Here is a 14,730-nt window from a genome sequence, read left to right as displayed (position 1 = left end):
TCCAATGGTGAAATTGAATCACTGTTTTACACAAAAATTCAAACCATCACAAAATATCTGTCCTTGTAAAGAAAAACGTCCTTATGAATGTAGTGATAATATCTGAAACTATACACATGAAGCTTTGTAGTTTTCAGACTTTTGCTTTATTTCATTTCATTTATTCCCTTTAGGAGGGAAAATCATGGTTTTTTTTTTTTTCTACAACTGTTAAAATTCAAAGTTATCTTCAATTAGAATGGTGATGGCCAGGGGCTGGAGGGAGGGGCAATGGAGAGATGTTATTCAATGGGTGTAGGATTCAGGTTTGCAAGATGAGAAAATTCTGCAGATTGGCTAAACAACAATATGAATACGCTTAACACCATTGAACTGTATACTACAAAGACAGTAATTTTTTTTTTTTTGAGACGGAGTCTCGCTGTGTTGCCCAGGCTGGAGTGCAGTGGTGAGATCTCAGCTCACTGCAAACTCCACCTCCCCAGTTCAAGCGATTCTCTTGCCTCAGCCTCCTGAGTAGTTGGGACTATAGGCACGTGCCACCATGCCCGGCTAATTTTTGCATTTTTAGTAGAGAAAGGTTTCACCATGTTGGCCAGGATGGTCTCGATCTCTTGACCTCGTGATCCACCTGCCTCAGCCTCCCAAAGTGCTGGGATTACAGGTGTGAGCCACTGTGCCCAGCCAGACAGTACATTTTATGTGTATTTTATTGCAACTTAAAATTTTTTTAAATCGTACAATTGGCTCTTGAGCAACATGGGTTTGAACTGCCTGGGTCCAATGACACATGGATATTTTTCTTCTGCCTCTGCTACCCCTGAGACAAGAAGACCAACCCTCCTCTTCCTCCTTAGCCCACTCAACATGAAGAAGAGGATGAAGACCTTTAAGATGACCCACTTCCACTTGAAGAACAGTAAATGCACTTTGTTTTCCTTATGACTTTCCTAATAACATTTTCTATTGCTTAGCTTACTTTATTGTAAGAATGCAGAATAGAATACATATAACACACAAAATATGTGTTAATTGGCATTTATGTTTTGGTAAGGCTTCCGGTCAACTGTAGGCTATTAGTACTTAAGTTTATTCAGAGTCAAAAGTTATGTGTGGATTTTCGACTGCATGGGGGGTCAGTGTGGTGCTCCCTCCACCCATGTGTTGCTGAAGGATCAATTGTGTGTGGGTGTGTGCAGGGGTGTGTGGTGTGTGTGGGTGTGTATGTGGTGTTGTGTGTAGTGTTATGTGTGTGTGTACGGGGGTGTTATGTGTGGTGTGGGGGGTGTGGTGTGTGTGTGGTATGGTGGTGTAGGGGTGTGCTGTGTGTGTGGTGTGTGGAGGGGTTGTCGTGTGTGTGTGGTGTGTGTGGGTGGGCATGGGGTGTGTGTGTGGTGGGGTGGTGTGTGTTGTATGTGTGTGGTGTGTGTGTGGGGTTATGGATATGGTATGGTGTGGTATGTGTATGGGGTGTGTATGGGGGTGTGGTGGTGTGTGTGTTTACGCAGTATGTGTTTGTGTCTGTGTGTGTGTGTGTGTCTCCGATGAATTCTAAGGGAATTTTTTTCTTTTTTTTTAATTATACTTTAAGTTCTAGGGTACATGTGCACAACATGCAGGTTTGTTACATAGGTATACATGTGTCATGTTGGTTTGCTGCACCCATCAACTCGTCATTTACATTAGGCATTTCTCCTAATACTATCCCTCCCCCAGCCCCCCACCCCCTGACAGGCCCCGGTGTGTGATGTTAAGGGAATTTTTTTCTACACTATCTTTTATCCTTTTCTTTAAGCCCCTTATTTTTCTTAAAGCCGTTCCCTTTGAGCATACTTAAAAGCCAATTAAAAAAAAACTTTAATAAAAGTTGACAGATATTGAAAGATGGAAGGAAGTATGACAATAAAAATCATTCTAGTCATCGATGCTTCTTATAACAGATCCAGCTCGGTCCAGTCCTACCAAGCAGGCCTCACCAGAAACAGCAGACAGCAGAGGGAGAAACCAAAATGGAAACGTGGGTTCCCGCTCTCAGGCAGAAAACGACCCAGACAGACTACACCCAGCAAAACTACCTCCACGACTATCTACTGCCATGACAGCAACAACAAATATTCTCCATGAAGTCACAATTTGTGAAGCACATTATGGCAAGTACTTGGCTTGTTGTATTACCTTGTAACACAGGCAAGATGGAGCTTGTAATTAGTGCTATCTTGAGATGAAAAAACAGCCTAAGAGAGAGTAAGGAGAAAAGACTTCAGAAGTGACTGATGAAGGTGACATGTGTCTGGAAGCACCCTGTACCTCACAGAGGCCAAAGCCGTTCCAGACCCTTGGGCTCCCATGCAAGGATTCTGAGAAGAATTGCAAGTCAGAGACAGAAAGGAAGGTAGAGAAGCATACACTAGGTGCTTCTGTCTTTAAACACTGCTTTAAGTTATCCGTTTTTGAAAACTGCTGATTCCTTAACATTTTTCTCTGCAAATAAAGAAATGCACTTTTGCAATATTAGGTATAGGAAATCCACGGTTAGACAGGCTTAGAGGGAAGAGGCATCTCACCTGAGAGAGAACTCCCATTCAATCTCCAGCCCAGAGCAAGCCTGGAGCCCCTCCACCTCTTGGTGGCAAGAATCTACTTAATTGAAGGTTCCTTTTTCCTTTGAGTGACAAACCAATACCTACAACGTGTAAGGAACACAGCAGAGTCCCATGTGGAGCTGACAGCAGTATGTAACAGTAGTAGGCACACCACCATGGTGGGGCAGAAAGGAAGCCCTTAAACAAATGCTGAAACTTCAGAAGAACTCCTAGCAACGGCCCCAGCTACAAAGGGGGCAAGGAACTGCAGAGACTTCTGGCCACCTCTTCGGAGGCCAGACCATGTGCATGGTGACCTGGTGGCATCTCTCTCTGCAGAATGAAGGCTGGAACATGCTGGCTGTCCCCCTTCCCCCCAGCAGGTGCTAACATCCATCTCCATCCATCCACATTTCCACTTGTAGGAATTCCATGCTTAGGGCCCCACTCTGACACTGCTAGCAATCAAGGTTTCCATGAGAGGTTACAGTGGGAGTAGGAAAAGAATGGAGCTTTAAGATAGGAGACAGCTAGGTGAGGAATCTGGCTCCAGCACTTGCTAGCTGCGTGACCTTGACCAAGTTACTCAGCTTCTCTGAGACTGAATTTCCTCGACTATAAAATAAGGCTGACAACATCTTCAGGGCAGGATCACTGGGAGGATGAGAGAGAAAATATGTGAAGCACCCAACACCTGATCCATGGCTCAGATGTGACTTCTCAGGAAATGAGAGCTGTTGCTAGAATTATTTTTCAAAAGGTTTGAGAGAAAATTTTGAATCAGCCCTAAGCGAGCAAGCTCACCTCATGACAAGCCACTTTGGATAGTCCGAACTATTAACTGTGGTTTTACTATTTGTGCCACACTTGCTTAATCTCAGGTGACTTCAGGTGTTGAAACATAAAGCTTTGCAGGTCTCAGCTATGCCAAGTGCTATCAATTCTTTGTTTGCATGGGAAGATTTTTCAAATGCATGTTGGAAGTGGGCAAATGTCTGCATATGATGGAGAAATTTATAAAACCAGGGGGTCTAAGTCTATTCAGCATCTTTTTTCCTTTTCTTCTAAAGCCCCAGAAAGGTCTGTAATAATGACTCCTTTTCAGAGCAGTTTCTTCTCTGCAGGTGGTCCTGAGCACCTCCAGCTTCAATAAAACCTTCTTGGCTAAAGGCACTAATTTTTCTCACCTCCACAGTGACCTACTCACACAGTTATCAAAAATAAAAGTTAAAAAAAAAATCCAGGCTGAGCCCGGTGGCTCACGTCTGTAATCCCAGCACTTTGGGAGGCCTACACAGGCAGATTGCTTGAGCTCAGGAGCCCGAGACCAGCCTGGGCAACATGGCAAAACCCCATCTCTACAGAAAAAACTACAAAAATTAGCCAGGTGTGGTGGCACGTACCTGTGGTTACAGCTACTCAGGAGGCTGAGGTGGGAGGATCACTTGAGCCCAGGAGGCATAGGTTGCAGTGGGCAGAGATTGCACCACTGCACTGCACTCCAGCCTGGGAGACAGAGCGAGACCCTGTCTCAATAAATAAATAAATAAATAATTCAAATCCGTAAATAACCAATATGGAACTTAATAAAAACTTCTATGTGTTCATGAGACTAGCTCTTGCAAGAAACAAGGTCAAACGTTATTCCCGAATAGTTGGGCACAGTGGTCCTGCAGTGAAGTTATCCTAGAAATAATCATCAACATGGTAACCTATGTGGCTTCACATTTTTTGGAAAATAACTCTATGAAATAAACTGCATTTAAGGAATTAAGAACAGAACTTAACTTTCTTTAATTTGTTCCGGTGGCCTAAAATTCTCTCATGTCTTACAATCAACAGAATAAACTGCAAGTACTATATAAAACTTTGAAAGCAAATTCTTATTGAGGGTGCCTTTTGGATTATGCATACACGTGGCTTCCCTGCTCCGTTTTGTGATCTCCCGTGTGTATGCTTTCAGCCCGGCTCCTTAGAATAAGGAGTCCTCCCTATAACTTGCCTCACTGTGTGGTATAATTCTTTATACCATTTGAGGACAGAGGTATCCTTTAGTGAAACCCATCTTAGCTCCTTTCCCAAAGAATTGGGAGGTTTTCTTCAAACTTTGACAACTCCATCTATGTTGCTGTGTAATTAAGTACAAAAAGCTTTACACAATCAATAAAGCGCCAACAGCCCAAAATGCAAACAACTCCAAAGAGAACAAGAAGGCAACTACATGCATTCATTGAAAAAGAAAAGTTTAGGGCTGAGTGCGGTGGCTTACACCTGTAATCCCAGCACTTTGGGAGGCTGAGGCAGGTGGATCACCTGAGGTCAGGAGTTCGAGATCAGCCTGACCAACATGGTAAAATGGCATCTCTACTAAAAATACAAAAGTAGCTGGGTGTGGTGGCACATGCCTGTAATCCCAGCTACTCGGGAGGCTGAGGCAGAAGAATCGCTTGAACCCGGGAGGTGGAGGTTGCCGTGAGCCGAGATTGTGCCATTGCACTAGAGCCTGGGCAACAAGAGCAAAACTCTGTCTAAAAAAAAAAAGGAAAAGGAGAAGAAAAGTTTACGGCTCTGTCCTATGGTGCCTCAAACCAAACAACAAAACCTGAGCTTATTATTTTCTTCCCAAACCTGTCTCCATCGGTTCTATTTTTCAGCTGTCCAACAGAAATGTAGGTATCATTCCATCCCATCAGTTACTGTCTGTCAACGTTACCACCTGTATATTTTTCATATAAAATCCCTCCCTGTCTCCACTGTCACTCTCCTAGTTCACATGGGACATGAAGCTTATGTTCTTACTGGTCTTCTAACCTCTAGTTTCCCTCCCTCCACCCTCTTCTCCACACTGATCTTTCATATCTCATATCCACTACTCGGCTATGCAAATTTCTCGATGGTCAGCATGATAAAATTGGAGCTCATTAATTTATTTATGTATGTGTTTATTTTTGAGATGGAATATCACTCTGTCACGTAGCTGGAGTGCAGTTGTACGATCTCAGCTCACTGAAACCTCTGCTTCCTGGGTTCAAATGTCTCTCCTGCCTCAGCCCCCTGGGCAGAATAGCTGGGATCATAGGTGCATGCCACGACACTTAGCTAATTTTTGTATTTTTAGTAGAGATGAGGTTTTGCCATCTTGACAAGGCTGTTCTTGAACTCCTGGCCTCAGCTGACCCTCCAGCCTCAGCCTCCCAAAGTGCTGAGACTACAGGCGTGAGCCACCATGCCCAGGAGGAGCTTGTTTATTTAGCACAGAGGCCTTTCATTAGCACTTTTGACTCCTTGCCATTATTATAAACATTTATTTGTTTACAGTTGGTTTCCTCAACTGTAATGGAAGCTCCATCAGGGCTAGATGGCCAGCAGCTGTAACAATGCCTAGTACACGATTGGGAACTTGGTAGATCCTCATTCACTGAACAGCGGATATCCAGGATTCCCTGTCTAGCCTGACCTCTGACCTTACAGCCACCTGCCTCACACTTTATACTCAACAGTACCAAAGAACTGACAACTCCCAGGCCCCAGGCAGGCAGTGCTGTGAGTGTTTAAATATGTCGTTCGTGGCTGGGCGCGGTGGCTCACACCTATAATCCCAGCACTTTGGGAGGCCGAGGTGGGTGGATCACGAGGTCAAGAGATCGATCGAGACCATCCTGGCCAACATGGTAAAACCCTGTCTGTACTAAAAATACAAAAATTAGCTGGGTGTGGTGGTGTGCACCTGTAGTCCTAGCTACTTGGGAGGCTGAGACAGGACAATCGCTGGAACTTGGGAGGCAGAGGTTGCAGTGAGCTGAGATCGCATCACTGCACTCCAGCCTGGTGACAAAGCAAGACTCCGTCTCAAAAATAAAAATTAAAAAAAATTGGCAAATATCTGGCCAGCATCCATTGCCACTCCACGTCAATCACTAACTTAACCAGAGCATTTAGTGGCTACAATTTAATGAGTATACGACTTTGCACAGAGACTGAAGCATGAGTGGGCAGTTTCATCTAATAGCTGTGCCAATGAAGATGGAATTCTGATGTTGCAGTTCCAGTTGGGGTCTATGGATGTATTCGTCTGTTCTCCCATTGCTATAAAGGAACGCCTGAGGCTAGGTAACTTACAAGAAAAGAGGTTTAACTGACTCATGGTTCTACCGGCTGTATAAGAAGCATGGCAGCTGCTGCTTGCGGGGAAGCCTCAGGAAGCTTTTACTCGTGGTGGAAGGCAATGCAGGAGCATGTGTATTACATGGCAGGAGAAGGAGAGCACAAGGGGTCTTGCAATAACTCACTCACTATCATAAGGACAGTACCAAGAGGGGATGGTGCTAAACCATTCATGAGAGCTCCGCCCCCAGATCTAATCACCTCCCACCAGGCCCCACCTCCAGCAATGGGGATTACAATTCCACATGAGATTTGGTGGGGACACAGATCCAGACCATATCAATGGAGTCTGATGGAGCCTTTAGACCCAGAACCATGGGGTTCTCTTCCCAGCTTGGCCACTAACCTCAGGGGTGACCAGGACCCAGTCCCTTAGCCCCTTTGAAAAGGCTTGGCTTCCTCTGTATAAAATGAAAGCACTAAAACCTGCCTTTCCTACCTCACAAATGTTGACAGGATCAAGTGCTACAAAGCAATACACGAAGACAGGTTATCATTATTATTATTTACTGCTCCCTGGTTCTGCAACCTCAGTTGAAACAAAACTCATATCTTTACCTTTGCATAAAGAAAGACAGAGAATTGTCACCTCTCAACTACAGAGAAGAATTGCAAAAATGAATGAAGCAGCATTAGGGAATATATTCTTCCCTCCATGGCACAAAGGTCCTTTATAAACTATTCTTATTTAACACAGAGAGAAAAAAGTCAACCATATTACAACTTGTCTGCCAGTTCATGCTATGCAAATAAGTCCCTTCTTGGTCAACAGAGCTGAGATAAAATTTTACTGGACACAAAATACAGTAAAAATTTATCTTCCTTATTGTGCCAACTATTAGCTTCTCAATTAGCTCTCAAATCTTCACTAATGTAGGCCACCGAAAGGATATATTAAAACAATAAAACTTTTTTTAAAACACAAAACACAAAAAGAAATTAGAAATCCACTTCTGTGCAATGATATAAATGGAATCCCTCCCCTGGCCCTACCCAGCACGCCCCTTCCACTCTCTTCCTCTCCATCCTTTCACCTCCACTGATACTCACCCAAGGTTCAGGTGTTTGAGTTTTTGAAGCCTGCTGATCTGTGTTGGCAGCTTCTCGATCTGGTTATTTAAAAAGTTGAGCACTTCCAAATTCTTCAGTTCTGCTATGTTTGGTGGTACCACCATGGAAACATAAATGCTGAGTGTGAATCTGGGAATGGAACTCCTAGCAAGGGATGGCAGCAGCACATTTTGTTTTTATTCAAAGCTAAGAAACATATAACTCCAAAAGGACCATCGAATTCACCTATCAGTCTTACTTATTTTTCACAAGTTTTTCATAAGCAGTCACTCACTTCTGAGTGGCTGCTGAAATGCTTCTTCGTATATCATTAGCTAAGTGCTTGGCATAGTTTGTTTCGGAGGGACAACGAGGAGGGAAACAGAGCAAAAATGCACAAAAGAGAATTTCTGTACCATAGCAGCCTATAAAAGTGAATATTACAAAGCATATACACTTATAGCTGTCATATAGGATCTTTTAAGTGCAATTGTTTTTTTCTTTCGGTTTTCTTGCATTGCCACCAGAAGAAAGACAGCAACCTCCAAATCCCTTCCTGGGTGACATACATTGAAGCTGTTTAACCCAGTATCTGAACAGCTGTCCTCTTAACATTGCATTATATTAGCTCAACTTTAAATAACGAAATATTCAATATCCCTAGTTTCTGATTTTGGCCTCTGGAGTAATGTATCTTGATCAATACCACACATACATACAGACACACACCCATACATACACATACACACACACACAAAGGTTACATCAGATTTGCAACACATCGATATATTGTTATTATATAGAAATAAAAAAGTCAACTCAGTAACATGCTATGAACACTAGTATGCAGATCAAAGGTGAAAATCAACCACTGGGGACCCAAAAGGTTCCTCCTTCCCTAGCATATATATACTTGAAAATACAAATGTAAAAGCCAAAGGCATCTTTATCTCAAAAGGACAAACTATAAATTGGCAGCAGAAGGACTTTCCATAGGCTGTAATTCATCTATTCCATTTGCTATTCAATCATTCTACAAACATTTGTATGGGTGATAAGCTTGGCCATGGTTCATGTAAACTCTGATACCAAGACTATCCAGGTAACTAAAAACATGAACAGGTGCCTGGAGCCCAGCCCAAAAAAGTGTGATGTCTCATATCCGTCAGGTTTACTTCCCATCCCATCTGCTTCCTCCAGGGGTGCCCCAGGAGGCCAGAAAACCAACCTGCTTGCCTGCAGTCAGACCTAAACTCAGACCCAAGAGCACTTGTGATTAGAACCAGTACAAAGGTGTGTGTAAAACGCCAAACATACATCTAAAATATTTAAGCAGCTAGCCATTTCAAGGACACCAATTGATAACTCCAAGGGGAATAAAATTAAAGGGACAGGAACATGACTAATTATAGTTTTGAGTCATCATTTTCAGCTTTCTGAAATGTCTACAGTATCGCTGACCTGATTTCTTTTAGAGTGAATGCTTGGTGAAAGGTAAAAGAAACGCTTTCACTGGAAGAAGGGACTGTGAAGAATACGGATTACTCTGAACTAGGGCACATGGGCAGGGAGCAGTGGTCTAGTGAGCAGCCCCTGGGTGAGCTCCTGAAGTGGCTGTTGATAAAAGAACAGGTTTTCATGGGGTAATCTAGACAGCTGGAAGTTCCTCCAGAACCCTCCCTCTTGGATACCTGCAAGAATTCAAAGGAATCCTACCTGTAAAATATGGATGCAAATGCACATTCTTAGGTGCACAGTCCATGGGACACTTCCATGGAAATGAATGGTATTCATCTTGTGTAAGTGATTATCAAGAAAATCACCGGGGCCAGGAGTGGTGCCTCACGCCTATAATCCTATAACCCCAGCACTTTGGGAGGCCTAGGCAGGTGGATTACCTGAGGTCAGGAGTTCGAGACTAGCCTGACCAACATGGTGAAACCCTGACTCTACTCAAAATACAAAAATTAGCTGGGCATGGTGGCAGGTGCCCATAATCCCAGCTACTCGGGAGGCTGAGGCAGGAAAACTGCTTGAACCCAGGAGGTGGAGGTTGCAGTGAGCCAAGATCACGCTGTTGCACTCCAGCCTGGGTGACAAGAGTGAAACTCTATCTCAAAGGAAAAGAAAATCACCAAGCTATGTCTTCTAAGTCACTGGATGTCATCTTCTCCCCCCAGATCATAAAGTATATACAGTGCAGCTGCCCACAGACCTCATCCCTCCCCTGTCCACCCTCCAGCTACCACTAAGCCTTCATCTGAGTAGTTTGAAGAGCACATTCATCTGATGAGTTCGAAGAGCAATAATGAAAGTTAGTGAAATCAGGAGAAATTTATGATCTCAATTTAGCCACAAACCTAGAATAATGCAGGCAGAATTACTGTCGTCTTCCTGAAGTTACTCTGCCAGTGGAATTAAATACTCTCTAAAGATATCACCTTTTTGACAGGATGAGAGATTATTTCACTCTCCTTGCTAAATCAGTCCAATTTAAAACCACAAATTATGCTAAATGTGATTTAGGGCTTTGTCTTGTGGACGCAAACGATAGCCTCATATTCAATTTACAAAACCTCTCCCAGCCTTTTGGTGAGCATGTGAATTTTTTGCTTAAGACTCCATTCAAGCTAGATGAGAAAAAAAATTACGCAGCTAATATTCTCCCTAAATATACAGAATTTTTTTAACCCCCAGCCATAGTGAAAATCTAAAGAAATTAACATGCAGACCCGTCTGGATGGGATGGTATTCACTCTTTGAACCAACACTTAGAGAATGCTGATTAGGTGCTCAGTGCCATACTTTTCACACATAGCATCTCAATACTTTGGGGGTAAAGTAGGAGGGGCATGTTATTTAAGGAAAGTAAGTTACAAAAGACAGGGTATCAAAGTCAATAAACTGAAACAGGCCTAGTGCTTGGAAAATAAACTACTCCCAGCCAAACTAGTTGTCCAGAAAAAATAACCAGTTAGCAATATGAATTGTGTCACGACTAAATCATATACATATGTGGCAGGAACAATTTTAGCTATTTCAAAAAGGCCACTGCAATATCTTACCACTCAAAATATTTTATTGGAATTTTCCAGATATCTATAGGATGCATGAGCAAGAAGCATTTTAAAACCTAATAGCGTGCATCAGTATATTTCTTATCATGTCTTTGAAATGTTCCTTTTTCATCAATCTGTCCAGCTTCTGACCTATGACCCCAGCTGACCTATGACACCGAAGAAACTGAAGAGCAATGTGGTCCTTGACCCTACAGTGCTGTGTGTGCCCTTACTCAACTCATAACCTCTCTGGGTGTCTATAAAATAAGAAGGCTGGATTATGACCGTTTCCAAGGTCTCTTCCACCTCGTTTTAACATTCTAGGATTCTAACAGGAGATGGATTATGAAAATCAATGATAGGGCTTCAAATAATTCAAAAAATGGGGCCCTCAATTAGGAAGCTTAGTGATGTAGAACTTTGCTTCTGACAAAGAATTGAGTACCATTTTCTGCGTAGCCAAAGACAGTTGCTTTAAGTTTGAGACTTCAGTTGCTGGGTTTGGGGGAACCGTCCCAAAGGACTCAGACATTCCCTGGCTCCTCGATGTCACATTTTGCTCTAGCTGCAGGATCACAGGACTGCTGGGGATGCTTTCTTCCTACAGCGTCTGCTGGTGTTTTGGAAAGGTGACAAGGATGTGGTCACATCACCCCAGAGACAAATCTCAAAGTTTCTTCTGGGCTTTGTAGCAGTTCCACCTAACAAACCTGGCATGACCTTTTTTCCTTCAAGTTCTCCTAAACTGAAGAAACTGAATGTGATTCAAGAGTTTTGTCCATCTGACGTGCCAGCCCTAGACTTGGCAATTCAGCACCCCCGTCTCCCGCAGCACAGTTTCTGGAAGGTTCCACAAGCAGCCCAAAGTGCCTGAAGGGCTCCTTAACTTCTCTTTGGCCGGAAGCACCTCCACTTTGCTGGACAGGCTGGAGAAACCAGAGTCCATCTGTGCGAAACACTGGCACAGCCCCTTCCTGAGCAACAGCTTTACTCCTAAAAGGACATGTATCTACTGCCATTGGTTATATCTGCAACAGGCATGAGCCACCCGGCACTGCACAGTTGGTGCACATTCACAAAATCAACAATCAATCAGCTCAAGAATAGGCTTTCCCTAACCAGCCAGCAGCCCACAAACTATCTCCCCTGCACACAAAGAATCAAAATCAACTACTGTTATAACAATTGCAGTTTCAATTCTGTTGAATTGAGTAAGGAAGATTCTGTTCTATGATCTAAAATTAATAATTCCACAACCAACATCTTAAAGCATTTTAGGAGTTTACCAATAATAATTAGCAGGGTGTGTTCTGGGGCTGGGCTATCTGATGGACAGCCACTAGCTATATGCAGCTATTTGAATTTAAACCTACATTAATCAAAATTAAATAAAATGATGAATGCTATTGTTGGTCACAGCAGCCACATTTCAAGAACTCGACCGCCACATGTGGTGTCTAGTGGCTCCACTACTGCATGGCAGGGATACTGACCGTTTCATCACCACAGAACGTTCTATTAGACAGCCCTGCTCTATGGCAGTGGGTCTCAAACCACGGAGACATCAGAATCACCAGAGGCCTTGCTAAAACACAGATGGAGGAGTGTCCTGGAGTTTCTGATTTAGTAGATTTGGGGTAAAGCCTGAGAATCTGAATTTCCAGCAACTTCTCAGGGGATGCTGATGTTGCTGCTCTGGGAACCCCATTTTGGCTTAGAAAACTTTGAATTCATTGGCAGCATCATGATTATCAATCCAACACATATGTCCCTTACCCCATGCAATAATGCAATGAGTATAATAATCAATCTTATCCAAATGAAGACGCCTACTGAGCCTGGGGATTGATGAAAAGTGAAACAAATGATACTCTAGATAGCTAACACATTCAACGTGGGTGCCACAATCAAACCCTTTCTAGTCAACTTCTGCTTCCCCACACAGGATTTTATGGCGAGATCAGTATTGCTTAAGATGGACAACGTTCCAGAGGAGAAAAGCCTTGAATTCCCTAGCACACTGAATTAAGTCACTCAGTGGCAAATTCATCATGACCAAGGGTGGCCATACAAAGAGATGTCACCTGCTATACTGCCCAGCTTCAAAACACTGAGCCTTAACGGCAGGATGCTGGGTGGTAGTGATGGCACTGACAGACCGGCTTGGGTGCAGCTGATCTGGGGGCTTTTTGAGCAAAAGCATCTTGTGGCCCTTGAGGCAAAGAAACAAAGCTGTAAGGAGCGACAGACTCTGGGAGCAGCAGGCACAATGTGAAAACATAAGGACAAGTGCTCTGCTTGGGTGCAGCCCACGGAAGGGTCAGGGGGTCACACTTTGGTCTTTAGAGTCATATGGTTACCAGCGACAGCCAGGTTCTCTTCAGCTCCAGAAGGACAGCACTAGACCCTGCACCATGCTAACGCACACCTACGGCTGCCAGGAAGCCAGAAGCTGCTCTGAACACATGGCGCTTTCCATCCACAGCACGGGCATGAAATCTGGAGGTGACCTCCACCCACCATCTCCACCAAACTTCTGGGGACTTGGGGGCTGCACTACACCCAACTGTTTTTGCAGAAGCACCAAAGGATGTTTTTAGAACTAGTGATTCCTGAGCTAGGGCTGGCCCAGAGCATGAAAGCCAGGGGACCAAGCCTCTTTGAAAAAAGTGAACTGATGGCTGAACCTCTGCTTCCAGTGAAGGATGGTGAGTTACAGCAAGGGAATGAAGAGGAGGACTTAGGGCAGGCAACTGCTTACAGCCAGGGCTAGGACAGCAGGTGGCACAGGGGCATGCCACCCTTGTGCTGCAATGGTGGTAACACTACTGTATTGTGCCCGCCTCCAGGATGCAAAAATGCCACCAACCCTCAGGCCAAAGAGTCCCCAAAGAAAACACATGGAATGAGTCACAGCAAAATGAAGCCGAGTAGCATTGCTTCTAAAAACCTGACATATTGCTATTTTTTAAAAAAGGAGGTTTTTGTCTGCTGCCATAACAAAGGAAAATGCCTGCTCAGATGTTCACAATGTCATATATTTCTACAGCTTTTTAAAATAAAGCACAGAAGGATAGAGGATGGTAGAGGATATTAAAATTAGCTTGTCACTTAGATAATTTAGTATATTACATTACTACAATTAAGTTACTAGAAAAATCACTAAAAACCTGAGAATAGATGAAAATGAGTGAGATTATTCATTATAGGTATGGGAGAGGGAAGGACCATTTATGAGAAAATGGTGAAAGTAAACATTTCCTTGCCCCAGCATTTGATGAATATGATACTGAAAAACAAGTGCCCCTCTTTGGCCTGAATGAAGCAAGGGAGAAAAAAACCAAATTAGCAGAAACGAGATGAAATATGACTTGGGGCATCCGTGGTCAAAGTGAAAGCACAGGCTTTTTAATCTCTAGCCATAATAACTGGAGAACATTAGTCCATTCACAGCACAAAGGTGGTGTCTAGACTAATTATAGACGTGCCAATTCTTTCAGCAAATCATAGTTCTCGATGCCATTTTAATGATTATACATAAAGAAGAATCTTCTCAGTCTCGCATAGGAATAATTAAACTATTTAGCACTTTATATGCAAAAAAGGTCATTTGTAGTTATAGTGATTAATTACTTTCAAGTCCTCCTAAGCACTTTATATGCAAAAAAAAAAAGGTCATTTGTAGTTATAGTTTTGGCCAGAAAACAAAGGTTTTCTGGCCAAAAACACAAGGTGGATAATTAACTTATTACATATTACCATAAGAGTTTGAAGTTCAAAAGTATACTAATGAAAACTGGCTTCACAGATTTTATGGGATTTCACCCAAAGCAGGTATTAAAGCAGTGAATTACAGTAGTTCTGGGTTACTTAAA

The sequence above is a fragment of the Homo sapiens genome, chromosome 10 (assembly GCF_000001405.40).
Source record: "Homo sapiens chromosome 10, GRCh38.p14 Primary Assembly".
NCBI lineage: Eukaryota > Metazoa > Chordata > Mammalia > Primates > Hominidae > Homo > Homo sapiens.
The sequence above is the reverse complement of the archived record's forward strand: the minus strand, read 5'-3'. Positions refer to the sequence as shown.